General features: G+C 36.8%; 1 protein-coding gene and 1 long non-coding RNA gene across 14 annotated transcripts in view; one reads left to right on the top strand and one right to left on the bottom strand.

Annotated features, from left to right (window-relative positions):
• XPO4 (exportin 4) overlaps positions 1 to 19571 on the top strand; it is a 125446-nt gene that overhangs the window by 74910 nt on the left and 30965 nt on the right. For 11 of the 13 annotated variants that reach the window (NM_001372061.1, XM_047430537.1, NM_022459.5 and 8 more), the window contains 6 exons: positions 686 to 798; positions 5576 to 5733; positions 5987 to 6161; positions 17898 to 18074; positions 18640 to 18782; positions 19284 to 19429. In NM_001372061.1, coding sequence (NP_001358990.1) covers positions 686 to 798; positions 5576 to 5733; positions 5987 to 6161; positions 17898 to 18074; positions 18640 to 18782; positions 19284 to 19429 — 912 coding nt within the window. The remainder of the gene's footprint in view (positions 1 to 685; positions 799 to 5575; positions 5734 to 5986; positions 6162 to 17897; positions 18075 to 18639; positions 18783 to 19283; positions 19430 to 19571) is intronic. The other 2 variants (XM_005266504.5, XM_017020706.3) reach the window with 1 other exon arrangement.
• LOC124903129 (uncharacterized) lies at positions 1011 to 2921 on the bottom strand. The gene is made up of 2 exons (XR_007063711.1): positions 2736 to 2921; positions 1011 to 1371 (listed from the first exon to the last, which is right to left on the bottom strand). It is a non-coding gene; the product is annotated as an uncharacterized LOC124903129 (long non-coding RNA).

Below are 19571 nucleotides of genomic sequence, written 5' to 3'. Positions count from 1 at the left end.
TTTATGGTAAAACAGTATTCTGTTTGAAGCATGTTTGAAATTGAATGCCTGAACACCATATAAATTGCTTTTTAGTCTGTGGGAATTTTAAATAAGCATCTATAAAGTTTTTTGTCAATAGATTATTTCTTTGTCTTGATATTTAGATACTGTGACCTGTGGGAGTTTTTTTTCTTTAATATTATATGTGTTTACTCTTTTTGTTCTTTTGCTTTTCCAGTGAATATATTTCTTCTGGAAAAATGCTATTTTTCCAAGTAGACTATATGAAACTCACATTTTGTATATGTGGTGTTAATTGTTGCAAGATATTGGGGGAAATGATGGGATAAACTTGCAGAAATTGATTCTTTTTACATGAATTTTGGCATATGCTTTGCAGTAAGTGTATTTCCTTCTGTTGCCACCATTAAATTCTCTGGTTCTCAAAGTTTCTGTATGCCTACAGCATGACACATAATTACAATGAAAGCATTACCTTACATTCCTGTAACATTCTTTTTTTCCCCAGGCACTTAATGCCTTCTATTCCTTAGCTTCATGGATGAATTATGTAGCATATGTGAAGAGGCTTAAACTGTTACCATTACAAATTCTTTCTAGATGGCTCCTGTTATATTTAGGATATACTTATACTTTAGACAAAGTAAGAATGTTATTGTTGTTGACCTTGACACCAAATAACTGGGCAGACATTATATAGCTATGTTTGAATCCTCGCAAAATGTGCTGTTGAAGCCAACAGAGTCCTGGCGGGAGACTCTTCTGGACAGCAGAGTTATGGAGCTTTTCTTCACAGTAAGTTTTAGTCTTCATCTCTGGTAGCAAGAGCCATAGAAAAGAGGAAATGCCTTGGCGAGTTTCTTAAGTAAAACAGAACAGATTGCTTTTCTCCCCTAAAGTCTTGTCTTCTCATCAGTATGGCTGCTTAAACAGAAATTATTTTAAAAGGTTCTTGCTAATTTATAAAAATGTCACATGGTTATGAAGGGCTTAATATCCTGCAGCAGAAGTTCTCAAACTTTTAATTTCAGGACCCCTCTATACTCTTAAAAATTTATTGAGAACTCCAAAGAGCTTTTCTTTATATAGGTTATATTTGTCCTGTTAAAAATTCAAACAAAACTTTACAAAATAATGTGCTAAAAAGTAACAGTAAGAAACGATTACATATTAACATAAGTAACATTTTAATTAACTATATTTTTGAAAACGAAGCAAGTTTAATGAGAAGAATAGCATTGTTTTGCATTTTTGTAAATCTATAATATCAGACTTAATAGAAGACAGTCAGATTATCTTACCTGCTTCTGCCTTCAGTTAGTTGCAGTATCGCACATCGTGTGGCCTCGGGGAAATTCCACTTTTTACCTGTGTGACAGTGAGAATGGGAAACGCAGATACTGTCTTCATATTATTATGCAAATAGTTTTTTTCCTCACAGGCAACCTGACAGGCTTTTAAAAAGCTTCAGGGATCCCTGGGCCATAGTTTGAGAACTGCTATTCTAGAGTGTAGGTTTTATACTTATTATATTTATGAGTCATTGGTTAAGTTGGTATTATGGAATAGCAGTTTATCTCATGTATAACTTTAGACAGTCCTCTTTATTATTGGCTAAATATCAAGATGTAAGCAGTATGTTCCCACATTGGCCAGTGTGTATCCCCAATAAAACGGTCAAAAGCTGGAAAAACAATTCATATGTGTGTGTTTATGTGTTGGATGCTAATTTGCAGTTATAGGGGGAATATACAAGTTAATTAGATATAATGACGTGGACAGAAGCCCAAGTAAAAATCAATTAAAAGTAAAAAAGCTATTTTGCTTAATCCCAATTGTTAATTTTAGTTTCTTTTCATTTGTTGTAAAAATATAGATGAGCCCTTCAACTGCCTTTTTCTGATTGAACCATTTAAAATAAAGTAGTTATGTGGTATGTATTTTAAAATATCTAGAACAAGGTTATCTATCCATGGGTATATATAAAGGATATTTTCTATAGAAATATTCAGACTGAGCATTAAATCACCTTGTGGTTTCTTTTTAAAATCAGAGAAATGATGGCTAAAACCACTATCAAGATCAAAGAGATAATTGTAACTAAATTTTAAAATTCCGTTGCCTGCCTCATCTGACAGGAATTGTTTTGATACGAATCCAAGTCCAAGTCTTTGTATTATGCACTTGACTGAAAGTAGATTCCACTCCAGCAGTTTTTGAAAAGGTGAAAAACTTGCTGGCAGTACTGGAAACAACTCTACCAGATCTGAACAGCTGTCTAGACAAACCAGACAGCTGCTCCTGTCAGCTGTGAACAACCACACGCAAATAACTTGAATTTGAAAGTTAACCCTTTTTTGCTTTATTTGAACAATTTTTGTGTTTGTAGCTATTTTCACTTAAGCAGTTTATGAACAAGTTTGTTACTTGTTTTAAAAATGACAATGGCTAATCTTTTTATTTAACTTTGGTTAAATTTAGTTTTAGTTATATGAATTTATTGCCTACTTTAAAGCACTTTTCCACTGGATATCACTTGTGCTAGATTTGGATAAGCATCAGTATACTGTTGCATAAGAGCAAGACTTTAAATATGTTAATCATAAGACTTTAAATATGTTGGAATACTTTGGGTTGCATTCTGCCCTATAGAAGTTTACAAACTTCTTGATTTTTTTTCCTTCTATAAGGTCTTGGAAAAAAAACCCACTTTCATTGTGTTTTCTTCCTACCTTTTTGACCAGAGTCTTCTTGATCTCGCTTATGGTCTCTTCCTTCTTTGCTCATCACATAAATATTGGCATTCCTATCTTAGTTCTCAACTTTGCTGACTCTGTACACTTTCCTGTGGCTCTCTCTTTGACACGTAGGACTTCAGGCACCGGTTCCCAGATGACTCCTACATCTATATTCAGCACAGCCTGCTCCAGAGTTTCAGAGCCTTATAATCCCAGTGCTTACTGGATGTTTTAATTTGGATGGCCAACAGACATCTCAGATTTAACATGTTCCAGTAGAATTCGTCATCTTCCTTACTTGCTTCTCCTTCCTTGTCTTCCTTTTCTTGATGCATATCCTTGCCATTCATCTCACTGGGCGTCCTGCTGGGCTTTGCTTTCCCTTATCCCTCTGTCCCTTTTCCATATTCAGGTGGTGATTCAGCTTTCCGTTTTATGATACAGTTTATATTGAAATACATGTTCAGATATGGAGGAACTCTTTTGTAATGATGACATTGGAAGAAAGGCAAGAATTTATATTGTATAAAAATTAAGCATTTATTATTAGTTTTATGTGGTTTATATTTCAGGTAACATAAATTAAGCTTGAACAGCACACACCGTCTCGAAAGACAGTTATTTATTTATTTTAACTTTATTTTTAGTTATTTCATTAGCTATTTCATTGAGGGTATTCTTTCTTCTGATTGCTCGCTTCGAGACCATAATGAACATTCAAGATTGTGAGATGTATTCTTATTGTCCCAGATTACATTCTATCTGTTGACAGAATATATCCCTGGATATCATGCTTAAATGCTGATTAGATTCTAAGGCATCGTGACAAAAATTTAATTACAGATTTCGGATAAAGAACTTATAAGAGTGAGTTGTGTTCAGAAGTTTATGAACTAGACAGTGTGCATATATGAATTTGTCTATTGTACTTGGAATTTACTATATAAAACTTAAAATACATTGGAATATAGTTTGAAAAATATTTGTATTTTAGACCAAGGATTTGCAGACATTTTTTGTATAGGGCCAGATAGTAAACACTTTAGGCTTTGCAGGTCATATGTTCATATTCAACACTGCCATTGTAGTACAGAAGCAGCCATAGATGATACATAAATAAGCACGGCGGTGTTCCAGTAAAGCTTATTGATGGTCATTAAAATGTGAATGTTGGCCGGGCGTGGTGGCTCATGCCTGTAATCCCAGCACTTTGGGAGGCCAAGGCCGGTGGATCACCTGAGGTCAGGAGTTTGAGACCAGCCTGGCCAACATGGCGAAACCCCGTCTCTACTAAAAATACAAAAATTAGCCAGGCGCCGTGGCACGTGCCTGTAATCCCAGCTACTCAGGAGACTGAGGCAGGAGAATTGCTTGAACCCGGGAGGCGGAGGTTGCTATGAGCTGAGATTGCACCATTGCACTCCAGCCTGGGCAACAAGAGTGAAACTCTGTTTCGGGGGAAAAAAAAAGAATTCTGTGTAATTTCCACAGGTCACAAAATATTATTTTTATTGGTTTCCCCCCAACCATACAAAAATGGAAAAAAGAAAAAAACACAACCATTCTTAGCTCACAGCCATACAAAAACAGGCGGGGGCCAAATTTGGCTTATGGGCTGTGGTTTGTTCTAGTCCAAAGAGTATAGCATATTTTAAGCATGTCAGTAAATCAACTAACTTTGTAATGTTTAGAGATTACTTAGTGTTTTAAATTTCATTACTAGAACCTTGAGAAGTTCAGAGATTAAGGATTAAGGGACTCAGTGAACAAGGATTTATTAAGTGTTCATTGTGGCCCAGCATACCAGTGAGTACTTAAATGTTCTGACCTGAAGTAATTTAGAAACAATTTGCCTAGTCAAAGTGAATATAGCCTAAAACTATGAGTTTGATGTTACACAACATTTACAAAATAGAGAGAGAACTTTGTGTGGGAAAGAAAAGGGCTAGTTAAGTACTTCGGCAAGTACAAAATGGTACATCCAACAGTAAGTGTTGGATGGATTAAGATTAATAATGATCATATTCCTTCACTAAATTTTCCTTGGCTCTAATATGTCAGATTACAGAAATGAAACCTTTAACATCTGAGAATATTAATACTATAAAACTAGGGAGCAGTATTTCAAGAGCATTCCCTTCATACAAAACACTCTACCAGGTGTTTCATGTCCGTATTGTATCACTGAAGTAAAATATAGGTTAGCTTTAAATGGATTTAAGTATAATTTACATTTGGTATTCAAAATCTTTTAGCATTTATTAATAGCAATGATGTAGGTTAAACTGAGATTCAAACAAATTGTAAGCAAACTGAGAATTAATAAAAGAACGTGCTCATTATATTTTGGTTGAATGAATGCATGAATGTCTAGGGATTCAATGGTATATTGCTTTTCTAAGTGCACAACTGTTTACTTCCACTAAAGCAGCATCTATATACTCTTTATTGAACTTGTCTGCTAAGTTTAGCAAGAAGCTGTAGCTAGGCATAGTTAGCATAATACAGATGACTGTCATTGTTGCTGTTTTTAGAAGAAGCAGTATGTCTGACTGGCTGGCATCTGTTTCTCTCTTTGTCATAACATGCTGGAGACAGATCAATTTTCAAAATGTAGGTAGCCCTCAGTTAAAAATCAATTGATATGTTTAAAATAATGACCTGTAATGTAAAGTGGACTGAGGGACAATTTTCAATTTAGTTTAATTCAGGAATTAATTTTCTAGAAATAACCAGCTACAGTGAATTTTTGTCTTACCTCATTCGGCATGGTAGACACGTGACCCTTACAAAGGAAGAATTTATATTTATGGATTAGTAATTCTTTCTAACAGGTACATCGAAAAATCAGAGAAGATTCAGATATGGCACAAGATTCTCTGCAGTGCCTTGCCCAGTTAGCTTCTCTTCATGGACCCATCTTCCCAGATGAAGGATCACAAGTTGATTATCTAGCACACTTCATTGAGGGATTACTGAATACTATCAATGGGTAGGTATACTTGCCCTTTGCAGCTGAAAAAGGAGCTCTACGTTTTGTGTTTAACAGTAGAAGAAAAAAAGAAACTAGTTATTTTTTCCCCCTTATATTTTGAAGTAAAGTCATATGGGTAATTTGAAATTAATAAACAGAGACATACCTTTTAAAATGAATCAGTAACGATATTTGCTTGTTTGGAAATGAGTTATTATATTAATAATTTTTCTTTTACTGCCACTTAATAATACTCATTCCTTGGTTTTAGAATTGAAATAGAAGATTCTGAAGCTGTGGGGATCTCCAGCATTATCAGCAACCTGATAACCGTGTTCCCACGAAATGTTTTAACTGCCATTCCAAGTGAACTTTTCTCCTCCTTTGTTAACTGCCTCACACACCTCACTTGTTCTTTTGGGCGAAGTGCTGCATTGGAAGAAGTGGTGAGTGACTATTCTAAAGTAAATTGTGTCAGTTTTCACAAGGAAATTTGCGGTGCCTTTGGAACATTTCTCATGACAAGTAATTATTTTAAGTGAGTGCTGGCTATTGTTAAAGTGACTGTTTTGTTTAGATGTGCAAATTATTTGGGAAACATGACCTTTAAAAATTTGTGGATTAAAATAGCTTTAGTTGGTGATATTTACTGGTCTTAAGCATTTAATTTTGAGATAATTTAGTACCCAAATATAAGAGATGGAATGAAATGAGCTGTGGTTTGTTCAACACAATTTTTCATGTAAAAATTATGTCGAAGGCTCTTTCTAACAGCAAAAACATTGTTTACAGGGTGTTGCTGTGGTGTGGTGTAATTACGTGTAATTTTTTTTTTTTTTGAGAATTTTTTACGTTGGACTTATTTGGCAATTATGTAAACATAATTTGGTTCAAATCATTGAAACCTTGCTTATTTTGGTTAGACTGTGCTCTCTAATTTTTTGGATGATAATGCTTTAATAGTGTATCCTGGTAGAATTTAATTTACATTGAAATTAAGACCAATAACAATACTGAAGATGTTTTTTGGTACAAATTTCCAAATGTGTATTTTCCATATTTTATATTTAAATTTAGACGTCTACTAAAACCCCTTGAGGACACAGCTGCTTTTGTAACAGTTACTCTGAATAGCTGTATTAATCATGGAAAAAAATTGATTTCATTCCACAAAGTAGTGATTAAATTGTTGAAACTAATTTTTCTTTTTATGAGTCAAAATGTGAATCTTTCTGAAAGGCTGTAAGAGGAAAAAGAATGTAGATATTTTGTTAGAATTTCATGTTAAATTGTAAGTTGTGTTGGTTAGATTCTGCCAACGTGTATGTGAGTTTTTTCGTATCCCTTCAGAGGTGTTCAGAGAATAGAGAACTCGAGAATGATTATGTTTATGTAATCGGGCACTTTCATGATTTGATGAGGAAAGGAACCAGGTCAGACAAGTGTTTATACGGTAGAGAAAATGTAGTAACAGAAAAATAGAAGTTTAAAGGCATGATATGTACAGTTGAATGTTTCAGAGGGATACTTTACATTCTAAACATAAAAATCCAGGGTAATTTTAAGTATTTAACATTTTAAGTATTTACAGTTTACTCAAACCTCTTTCAAATGATCACAGATTCTGAACTAGTCAGGTTTTATTTAACATGAATTCCTTGCACTTTCCCTCTCCACCTTGGTTTATTTTCTCTTCTAAACCAGGTGGATTAAAGAGCATGTTGATCCTATATTTAGAAACTAAGCTCCTTTTAGTTCTGTTTGTGAGTTAAGCGTGTTCCTAAACGTTTTAAAGAATTGCTGGAAGATATATGGCATCCTTGGTTTGCAAATTTTAAGTGCAGAATTTATTTGAGGACACTGACATCTTGACAATTTTTCCTTCAAGATTTGACATAGGAGTGTTGGAATATAGAAAGCCTGCATGCATTTGCAGAGAAGCAGATGTGTGTTGTGCTTATTTCACAGCAGGCGTGCTCTAGTGAAGATGAACCTAACAGGTTTCATTCAAGAAAAGTATTATTTCTTTTCATTTATTTTACTCTTTTAATTAATTTTTAATTGAGCTGTTTATGATATTTAAAAATTATTTTTTAAAATAATTGGTCACCTATTGAAAAGGACAGAGGGAAAAGATCTGTTTAAAGTTTTGCATTAGTCGTAGAAACCAGGTTGGGGATGTGTGGTGAAGTTGAGGGCTAATGGGGTGGCCCAGGCATGGTGACTTTCTTAAGAGTAAACCTCCTAAATGTCATCTCAACCTCAAGCGGTTTCCGTTGTATCTTCTGTATGCTGGGAGTAGAGGACCAGGGGAGTATACAGCTAATACCAGAAATATAGGAACAAATCCAGCCAAACCAAATTGGACCTCTGGGACAGAAACCATTTCATCTTTTGTTTTCTTGGGCACCCAGTAATTGTAGTAATAGTACATAATACGTAGTTGTCCTGAGATGGAAAAGTATATAAAGACATGATCTTTTTTTTTTTGAGATGGAGTCTCGCTCTGTCGCCCAGGCTGGACTGCGATGGCACGGTCTTGGCTCACTGCAACCTCTGCCTCACAGGTTCAAGCGATTCTTCTGCATCAGCCTCCCGAGTAGCTGGGATTACAGGCATGCGCCATCACGCCCGGCTAATTTTTGTATTTTTAGTAGAGACGGGGTTTCACCATGTTGGCCAGGCTGGTCTCAAACTCCTGACCTCGCAGTCCACCCACCCCAGCCTCCCAAAGTGCTAGGATTACAGGTGTGAGCCACCGCGCCTGGCCAAGACATGATCTTTTAAGTAAAATTTGAAAAATTGAGGCATATTAAAGATATGAGTTTGGGAGTTAACATGGGATGAAAAGATGATGAACTTTTGAGGGAGACTGCACAGTTACAGGCCAGGCAGTCATGAAGAGCAAGAGTTCAAGCAAGCTGCTTCACTTTTTTTTGGAGCATGTTAGCTTATTGGTAAAGTCAGGGTATGAATTCCTTCTACTGCTTTATGACGTGGATTAACTGCATGAAAAGTACCTGTATAGGCCGGGCTCAGTGGCTCACGCCTGTAATCCCAGTACTTTGGGAGACTGAGGCAGGCGGATTGCCTGAGGTCAGGAGTTCGAGACCAGCCTGCCAAACATGGCAAAACCCCTTCTCTACTTAAAAATATAAAAAATTAGCCGGGCATGGTGGCGGGCGCCTGTAATCCCAGCTACTTGGGAGGCTGAAGCAGGAGGATCTCTTGAACCCGAGAGGCGGAGGTTGCAGTGACCCAAGATCACACCACTGCACTCCAGCCTGGGTGACAAGAACGAAACTCCATCTCAACAAAAAAACAAAGGGGAGGGGGAGGGGGACGTGTATAGTGTACAATAATTTATTACAAGCAATAACATGTAGAATAATTTTTTAAAATGAGCCTTTAAAATAATAGCTTTTATTGAAAACCTGTGTGCACTCTTACCACATAAGAACAACTGTTGAGTTTTGTTTGGTGCAAACTAATTATAATTCTAATTTTTTAAAATTATTTTTTAAATGATTTTTATAATTGTAATTTTGTGAAATATTGAAAGCTTCTTTTTCCAGTAGGAAAACAGGTTCCACATGTAAGACTTTGTTTTACTGTGAGAATACTTTTTTCAGAGCTGTGTTTGTTTAGGAATATATACAGATTATCATCTTTTTTAATAGCAATTCATGTCTTTGATGGTGGTAACGTTGTGTAGCAAGGGAAGAAGAGCATCTTCATAGGAAGAAGCATTCTTGATACCAGTGTGTGTTTTTGAAACCCATGTCATAAAGCCACCTTGCTGGGTGGCTTTAGCATGTGAGTGAAGAGACATATTTATGAGTACTCTGACTTGCAGTTAACTGAGAGTCTGTGTTCACAAAGAGCAATTCTGGTATTCAGCCAAGTTTCTCTGTGGCTGCAGAAGTTTCTTGATATTATTTGAGACTTTTTGGAGATAAGAATTTTTTCATTATACCCAGAAATCAAATTATTATCTATTGCTGAACTGAAGAGGTAAGAATGAATGTGGAGATGAAAAAGTATTGCCTTAAAGATTAAAATCCTGCTGGGCTTGGTGGCTCACGGCCGTACCTTGGGAAGCTGAGGTAGGCAGATCACCTGAGGTCGGGTGAGGAGACCAGCCTGGCCAACACATCGAAGCTCCGTCTCTACTAAAAATACAAAAATTAGCCAGGCATGGTGGCACACTCCTGTAATCCCAGCTACTGAGGAGGCTGAGACAGGAGAATTACTTGAACCCGGGAGGCAGAGGTTGCAGTGAGCTGAGATCATGCCACTGCACTCCAGCCTGGGTAATACAGCAAGGCTTTGTCTCAAAAAAAGATTAAAATTCTATCAATAATTGTTCATATTAATACAACAGCTGTTTTATAAAAGATTTATAATAGTAGATGCATTTGAATTGTTTCAGTGAAATTCAAGGAGAATATGACTAGAACTGTATACTCTAGTTTGTTTCTTGGTTTCTTTTATAATTAACCATTTTGAGTTCAGCCAAGTAGGTGAAGCTGTGCAGTATGTTGCTACAGGAACAGAGCAGCCTTCATAGCATTGAGGTATTTTGTATATGCATTTTGATGTATGTGTTGTGTATAAGGGCAATCGTGGTAAATAACAATTTATAAAGGAAGAACCTTACATCTAGTTTTAGTATATTTGTAGCCTAATCTCAAGACCAGCAGGACAAGGTAGTAAAGAAAAAGGTACTTGATAAAGTTTTTAGGAAGTTGATTATAGAATGTAATGCAATAAAATAAATTTGCAATTTGTCAAGTGAGTGAGTGTATTTAGAGGTCAGCATTCTTGATTCAGAATTTAATTTCTCTGGCTTGTTGGGTAATTACTTTGTAGTGAGGTTATGTGACAAAAAGGAAGCCATAAATTGAAGCCAAATTACAGATTGAGAAGTGGGGAGCATAAATTTTGGGATATCTCAGTGATAAGAGGGAAAACAATACTTATTCTCTGGATGGTTGTGTCCGTACAGTGTAACTGTGTAGTCTACCTTGCACCTTCACCCATGAAAGGATGGATTGTTTGAAGATCCTTGCCAACATCCCCACCAAACGGTTCTTGTAGCTATAAAAGAATAAACTGATGATACTGGAGAGAGCAAGCTGGCTGTCCAGCGCCCCCCACCCATCAAGCACATTCATTTCCTCTGCTTAAAAGATAGAATTAAATCCATGAGTATTTTTTAAAGCTTGCACATTAAAAGTATACTTTTTAGAAATAATAACAATAGTTTTAGCTCTACCAGGATATTTGGAAGAAAACTAGTTACTATTTTACCTTAAATACAGATTCGTATTAAAAGAAGTGTTTTAAGAATTGTTTTAATGTTTTAATTCTAATTGGATGATAACCATGTAATATTTCATGACTTGTATGAGTCAGCTCTGATTGTTTAAATCTGCTTTACCAATCCTAGTGCAGAACCAGTGTTAAGTTTCACAGAATTCTTGCACCTTTAGTGCAGTGGATTTAGAATAAAGCTTACTTACTGTTATAACTATTGTTCCATATCATATTTAAGTGATCTGTCTGTAAGATTTTTCTAACAGCTGCAATACTTGTCTACTAAATCCATTTCTCTTGGGGGATTCCAGAAACCAGGAATACTGTCAGCTGCATAGGTATTCTGAAGTTAAATTAATTCTGTATTTTAAGAACTAGCTAGAAAAAATAAAAATAACTAGACGTGGATTTATTTTTCATTTGACATTCAAAGACTTCTAAATTCCTACATTTTTAAGTGGAGAGTTCATGAAGTTTTTTTTGTGACATTTGTGTCACTATATTGTTCCCATATTTGCCTTAAATGATACTTCGCTAGGAAAGAATCTACATACCAATAGCAGATGAATAACAGCATAAACTAATAGTATAGCTCTTTCAGTCTTTAATCGTTCATATGTCCTTCTTAATGTTTTACACTGTGCAGCACAAATATTATTTGTGATTTGTTGTTAGACGTGGGGATTGTGCTGATGCCTGTAAATTTTAAAGTTATTGTGAAATGTTTCATTCATATAAAGTACTAGTTTTATGTTATAAAAATATAAAGAATAATGAAATGAACGATTATGTATCAACCACGCAGATTAAGAAATAGTATAGTATATTGATGGAGCCTTTTTCTGTTGTTTTTTAACCTGTGGTTTTTTCCTTCTCCTGTTATTGCATGCAAGTGTTTGGTACATTACTTATTTCTGCCAAGTGAGTCTATAAGCAGATGCTGCTGGTGAACTTCCCAGCCAGTGTTTTGGGCACTTTTTTGCAGCTTCTACAATCTCTGATAGTTGAAGCTGTTTTCACTTCCAAACTGTTGTAAAGAATAATATAAAAGGAACTTTTTGAAGGATATTCTGTAGACATAAGATTTTCTGTGAAAATGAATTGCCCATATTCATCTCACTGCATTTTTTGTCTGTGAATCACATATCTAACACGTTATTTATGTTTACATATGAAGATAATCTTGATGATCAACAGAAAAAGCTTTCCAATTTCATTGAAAGGATTTGGAGTTGTCATGATGATTAGTTGCTGTTCACAGGAAAACAAACTAACTACCTTAGCATGAGATTTAGCTCATATTTTTACAGTACCTGATATTAGATTTATATAGATAAATATAAATATAGATAAAGACTTTTTATATTTTAGAGCAGTTCTGAGTCCACAGCAAAAATTGGGTGAAAATACAAACCCCCTCAAACATGCAGCCTCCCCACCCTCACCCATCAACATCCCACACGAGAGTGGTACATTGTTACAGCTGATGAAACGACATTGACACATCATCGCCATCCAGAGTCCATAGTGTACATAGGGTTCACTCTTGGCATTGTACATTCTATGGGTTTGGACCAGTGTGTGATGTCCATCATTAAGGTATCATACAGAGTAGTTTCACTGTGCTGAAAATCCTCTGTGTTCTGCCTATTTATCCTTCCCTGCCCCTCACAACCTCTGGCAACCACTGATCTTTCGCCTGTCTCCATAGTTTTGCCTTTTCTAGAATGTCGTGTAGTTGGAATCGTGTAGTGTTGTTAGATTTTAATCTCTGAAATTCAATTTGATGTCAAAAAGGGGACAGATTTCATATATTGAAAGTTTTCTTTTCAAAGCTTCATTTGACAGCATTTTCATAAATAAAAGTAACCACTATTTTGGAATTATGTATTCAACATAATTACCAAAACGTAAAAGATTTTTTTCTATGACTAAAGGGTTGCAAATTTATTGCTCTATATACTTCCAAGGTAATTATGGGCATTGAGAGATAAGTGCTGATATCATAATTTGATTACCTTCTCCACCCTGCATTTCCAGATGGAGTAAAGTGGGGTCAAGTAGTCTCGTAAGCTCTAAGCCCCTCTCCAAAGCCTCTCTGGCAGCAGGCCTGACAATACCAAGGGCATGAGCACATAGTGTCTAGCTTGGTCTCCTTAGTCATCTCTGTGCACGTGCTGCTGCCTTGGCTGCTGGGTTTTGGCCAGAGTGGCCATGGAGCAGGGCCAGGGTATTATGAAAAAGCGCTAGGTTAGGTTTCAGTTTTCTGTGATTAGACTGAAAGATTTAGTTGCCAATTGTCAACAACCATATTTCTCACACTTTGCTCGATGAGTTATATTATCTCCAAAAGAAACCAGAAGGCTGTTTAGAAGTCCATAGTCTTACTGTAAATTGCCATCCAATGAGTTGAGGCTCTTGCAGTCTACCTCTGATCTTCTGTTCTAATATCAGAGTGTTAATAGGAGGGATTATTGAAAACTTTTTTTAATAATAGAAAGGCATATAAGACTTTTACTTTTTAGTTATACTTTTATGTATATGAATAATTAAACCACGATAACATGTGTTAGATATGTACCTAAAAAACAACCAAGATAGGTCTTAGAAAATATCCTGCTTTTTTTTTTTTTTTTTTGGAGACTGGGTGAGTCAGAGGATGCTATTCCTAAATTCCTCTTGTGATATGTTACCAGTCTGTTTATTTTGGCAAGATAAACTGTTAAGACTTAACAAATGATGGCTGTAAAGCACATGCTTTGTTAAGTATATAAACAGGCCACAGATGTTTCTATGGAAAGAAAGTATCTTATTCATCTCCATATTCCAGTGCCTGGCTCTTAGCGTTCAATAGATTTTTTTTTTTTTTTTTTGAGACAGCGTCTTGCTCTGTCACCCAAGCTGAAGTGCAGTGGCGTAATATTGGCTCACAGCAACTTCTGCCTCCCGGGTTTAAGCGATTCTTCTGCCTCAGTCTCCTGAGTAGGTGGAACTACAGGCATGTTCCACCACGCCTGGCTAATTTTTGTATTTTTAGTAGAGACGGAGTTTCGCCATGTTGGCCAGGCTAGTCTTGAACTCCTGATTTCAGGTGATCCACCTATTTCAGCCTTCCAAAGTGCTGGGATTACAGGCATGAGCCACCATGCCTGACTGAGAGCTCTCCTAAAGTATAAACCTAGGAGTGGAATTTTTTGATCAGAGAGTATGTAAATGTTCACTTTTAGAAGATAGTAGTGTCAAATTTTTCCGAAAGTGATTGGACCAGTGTATTACGTGTATGTGAGTTCTCAATGATCCATGTTCTCACCAACATTTACTGCCAAACTAGCAGGCATAAAATATGATCTTAATTTGCTTTCCCAAGTACCAGTAACATTGAGCATCTTTTCATATATTTAAATATGTAGTTCTGTGATTCCTCTTTTGAAATGCTTGTTTGTGTCCCTTGCCCATTTTCCTAATGGGATGTTTGTCTTTTCCTTACTGATTTGTAGAAAGTCTATATATGTTCTAGAACTAGTTTCTTGTTGGTTATATGGGTTTCAGATTGAGATGGTTTGGCTCTGTGTCCCCACCCAAATCACATGTCGAATTGTAATCTTGTAATACCCACGTGCCAGGGGCGGGGACCTGGTGGGGGGTGATTGGATTATGGGGGTGGTGGTTTCCCGCATGCTGTTCTCGTGACATTGTGTGGCAGTTATCTCCTCACTGTTTCCCTCCTGCTCTGCCATGCTAAGACATGCTTGCTTCCCCTTCGCCTTCCACCATGATTGTAAGTTTCCTGAGGCCTCCCAGTCATCCTTCCTGTTAAGCCTGCGGAACTGTGAGTCAATTAAACCTCTTTTCTTCATAAATTACCCAGTCTCAAGTAATTCTTTACAGCAGTGAGATAATGAACTAATACACAGATCTATTCTTTTTTATGGCTTTTTCACTTTTTTTCTGTATTTAAAATATGGAATAATTCTGTATTTAAAATATGGAATAATTTTAGGTTTACAGAAAATTTGCAAAGACAGTACAGAGAGTTTCCATGTGCCTTGTACCCAGTTCTCTCTTAATAGTATCATCTTTTGTAGCCATGGTACATTTGTCAGAACTAAGAAATTAACTTTGGCATATTATTAGTAACTAAACTAAAGGCTTTATTGGATTTCACCAGTTTTTCCCCCAATGTCCTCTTCCTGTGCCAGGACCTAGTCCTGGATATCACATTGCATTTTGACTTCATCATATTGTTTGATGAACAAGTGTTCCTCATCTTAATGTAGTTGAAAGTTTTTTTTTTAATGATTTGTAATTTTGGTTCCAATGTAAAGACGCCTACCCTTCCTGTGTTTTCTTCTAAATTCTTTAAAATTTGCCTTTCCTGACTTTAACATCTTAGAATTTAGTCAAGTAGGGATGCAAATTTTTTTTCTCCATGTGGATAACAGGTTTTTCTGCAACATTTATTGAATAGTCCTTCATCCTCAATGATCTGCCATACTGTAGTTTTTATATAAGTGTGGGTCTCCCCTCTGCCTCCCAGGTTCAAGTGATTCTCCTGCTTCAGCCTCCCAAGTAGCTGGGATTACAGGCTCCTGCCACCATGCCCAGCTAATTTTTGTGTTTTTAGTAGAGATGGGGTTTTGTCATGTTGGCCAGGCTGGTCTTGAACCCCTGACCTCAGGTGATTCACCTACCTCAGCCTCCCAAAGTATTGGGATTACAGGCATGAGCCACCATGCCCGGCTCCTCCTTATTCTTAATCAACATCTTCTAAGTGAATGCTTCTGGGTTTTCAACTTTAAAAATAAATACTTAGGTATCTGTGTGCTGACGATGCCCTAATTTGTATTTCCGGCCGTGATCTCTTTCCTAAACTTCAGACATGTATCAAACATGTTAATAGAACATTCCCACTTGGATTCCTATTTTGGATCTAAAATTTAACATGTCCAAAAGAAGAAAGGCCAAGAGGCCTTCATCACCCTGTATGCGTCATCTCACATTGCCCTGTCCAACACCCCCATCCTTCTGTATTGTAGGAATCTTCCCAGCTGTCAGGGTAAAAACCCAGGTGCACCCCCACCACTGCCTTGTTTTCTGTCTTGCCTCAGGTCATTTTCCAGTGTCAGCCCTTTCTCCAAAATCTGTACCCAGTTTGGCTGCTTGGCATCATCTCTCCCCTGGTCCATGGCACCATTATACTTTGCAGTGTAAGCAGTCTGATTTTCCTTTAAAGAATTATATCTGGCCAGGTGCAGTGGGTTACACCTGTAATCCCAGCACTTTGGGAGACTGAGGCAGGAGGATCCCTTGAGGCCAGGAGTTCGAGACCATCCTGGCCAACATGGCAAAACCCCGTCTCTACTAAAAATACAAACATTAGCTGGGCATGATGGTGCACACTTGTAGTCCCAGCTACTCAGGAGGCTGAGGCAGGAGAATCGCTTGAACCCAGGAAGCGGACGCTGTAGTGAGCCAAGATCACACCACTGCACTCCAGCCTGGGTAACAGAGCGAGACTCCATCTCAAAAAAAAAAAAAAAAAGAAAAAAGCATTCTATCTGTTTCAAGCATTGCAGTGGCTTCTTGCTGCAATTAGAAGAAAACCTAGTGTCCTTGTCATAGCCTGTCAAGGCCTTTGATCTGTTTCTTGCCTCCCAGCCCCCATTCTCACCCCATGTTATGTCAGGACCCATCACTCTCTGCTCCAGGTCCACCGGCTCTCTCTGCGATATAAATGCCAGGCTCATTCTTGCCTCCTGACCTTTGTAGATTTTTAAACTAGAGTGACCTTTTAGCCAAATGTTAGCTCCATTCAGGGAGATCTTGGACCACAAGTAACTCTGTGAAACAGCCTGGTGGTGTGCATAGTCATCCTACCTTTTTCTCTGATAATTTTTCTCTTCTTTCTCAGTGGTGTAGTTTTGGTGTAACACTTTAATTCAGTAATAGTAGCTAAATGAAGAAGAAAGAATAGGAAAGAGGACAATTAGGATTACAAGCTAAACAATTTCACTGAGACTATCTTGAAGCGTATACAGCCTCAGGGTTTCCTTAGTGGATCTCATACAGGTCTAGTTACATCCGGTACCATGCTTGTGGAGAGAGGCCTATTTAGCCAGTCAGAGCTTTGGGCAAGAAGAAGCCTGGCTTTTCCCTAATCTTATCTACTTGTCTCTTTTTCTAAGTTTCCCACATGTGTTTCCTTTGTAAGAAGAAAAACTAACTGCAGTGAACCAAAAAGATGGAGAACCAAGAAGAGGGAGAAATTTATTTCCACATTCACAAAGTATTTGTGCTTGTTAAATTTCTGATTTTTCTCTAAGTATGGGACACTTTTGGTATTTCTCTAATAATTATGAGTTGAGTCAACGCGTATTACATTTTTTTTGAAGACAGTGCTTTTCTACTGTATGGAATTTGCTGTTCTTTTTTATTATGAGTTATTTCTTGTTAAGGAGCACTGGTGGAGTTCTCCCCACATATTCTTAAACCTGCTGATTAAGTCAGTCTGTTTTCATCCTTCAGTTTCTCTAAAACCATTTTAAAGTGCGTAGGGTGTATACATTTTTTTTTATTTTAACAATTCTCTTCTTGACTACAGAAAATGTTAATATTATTTTTATTTGAAAAATGCATGTTCCACAAAACACTAAACAGCTGGTTTTAAAAATAAACTTTAATTCCAGATTGCCTAAGACTTACTTGAACTTAGAAAGATTTTAGAAAGTTCAATAAAAACTTATCAATAATTGGGAAGCTCTGTTAAAGGAAAAATTTAAACTATTTGTATGTATTTATATGACTGTTGTTATGCCAATTGTCGTTCTCTGGACATTTGTTTTATGAGTGTTCTTTTCTTTTAGCTTGATAAAGATGACATGGTATACATGGAAGCATATGATAAATTGTTGGAGTCCTGGTTAACTTTGGTTCAAGATGACAAACATTTCCATAAAGGCTTTTTTACCCAACATGCAGTTCAAGTTTTCAATTCCTATATTCAGTGCCACCTAGCTGCTCCAGATGGCACAAGAAATTTGGTGAGTTTTAAGCAAGATGGTAATTAACAGTCTATTTCATCATAGGCTATATTTTACCATGTTACACATTATATAATGCCAGAAATTTAGGATGGGTTCCCTCAGAAGATTTGCTGGGAGCAAAAGTGGCCTTGTTCTCTGAGTTCTTATTAAAATGGGATGTTGCCTATGTATATTCCTTTTCAATTTTCAGTTACCCACCTCTTTCTGTCTAGCTGTCAAGAGATATGAATAATTTGGGCCATGGATGTCTGGTTATTTCAGTGACAGAAGTTCAATTCTCCCATATGGGAGGTGGGTTGTGGGTGTGCAGTTAGTTGTGTTGATCACCATGGAGTGATTCCTGTACTTCTTGCTCTTGTATGTTTTCCCCCTTTTGATAACTACCACGGCTGTCAGCATTGTTAGAAGGGAGTTCCTAGATAGCTGTGCTCAAAGGTCGGCTGTGTCCCCTCTCCTTTTGCTATGCAGTGCTTAGCTATCTAAGCTATGTTATGGAGCCACAGAAGTGCACGTTGAATAGGCAATGCAGTTCCTCATTGTTTATTTCTTTTACTTGCAATAGACTGCCAATGGTGTGGCCTCTCGTGAGGAGGAAGAAATAAGTGAACTTCAAGAGGATGATCGAGACCAGTTTTCTGATCAACTGGCCAGTGTAGGAATGCTAGGAAGAATTGCTGCAGAACACTGTATACCTCTTCTGACAAGGTACACACAGTCCAAAGAAACCCCATGGAGCAAATATTCTCTATTCACAATTCCCTGGAGAGCACTTAAAGTGTTTAAAGACTTTAAACACCCCCACCCCGTGTCCCAGCACACTGGAACAAATGGACAGAAACATACTCATGATTGCGTTCCTTGGCTTAGACATTTGGAGCCCAGGCACTACAGCATAGATGGCAGAGAGATTATGGAAAACATGGTATGAGAAATGATTTGACCCATATCAGTAAAAACTTGGAATAACCAGTTTTCAAATGCCTGTTGTAAACCTTGATTGTTTGTAAAGCAGTGTTTTAATTCTATGTTATAAAAAATAAATCATAATTCCTATAGTGCTATGACAACAGTTGTGTACTATAATGTTTTTGTATATGTGTTTTTACGCTAACATTCAATTCATGTTGTCTAATATATGGAAGTTGTAAGTTGTTCCATGTCTTTGCTTATTGAACTTTATGAAGCTACTGTTTTCTTCTCTTTTAGTTTATTAGAAGAAAGAGTAACAAGACTCCATGGTCAGTTACAACGACATCAGCAACAGTTACTTGCTTCACCGGGTTCAAGCACTGTTGACAACAAAATGCTTGATGATCTCTATGAAGATATTCACTGGCTTATTTTAGTTACAGGTTGGTTGGTGGTTTCTTTTTAAAATGTAATTGCCAACTGAGCAATTTAAGCCTTAAAAGAAGCTTCCTATATGAAAAACAATAGTGTATATATAATATTGGATAAAATTTGGATACAGCCATTTTCTGTCATAGAACTATG

This window comes from Homo sapiens, chromosome 13 (assembly GCF_000001405.40).
Source record: "Homo sapiens chromosome 13, GRCh38.p14 Primary Assembly".
Classification (NCBI taxonomy): domain Eukaryota; kingdom Metazoa; phylum Chordata; class Mammalia; order Primates; family Hominidae; genus Homo; species Homo sapiens.
Note: the sequence above shows the minus strand (reverse complement) of the source record. Positions and strands in the feature narration are given on the sequence as shown.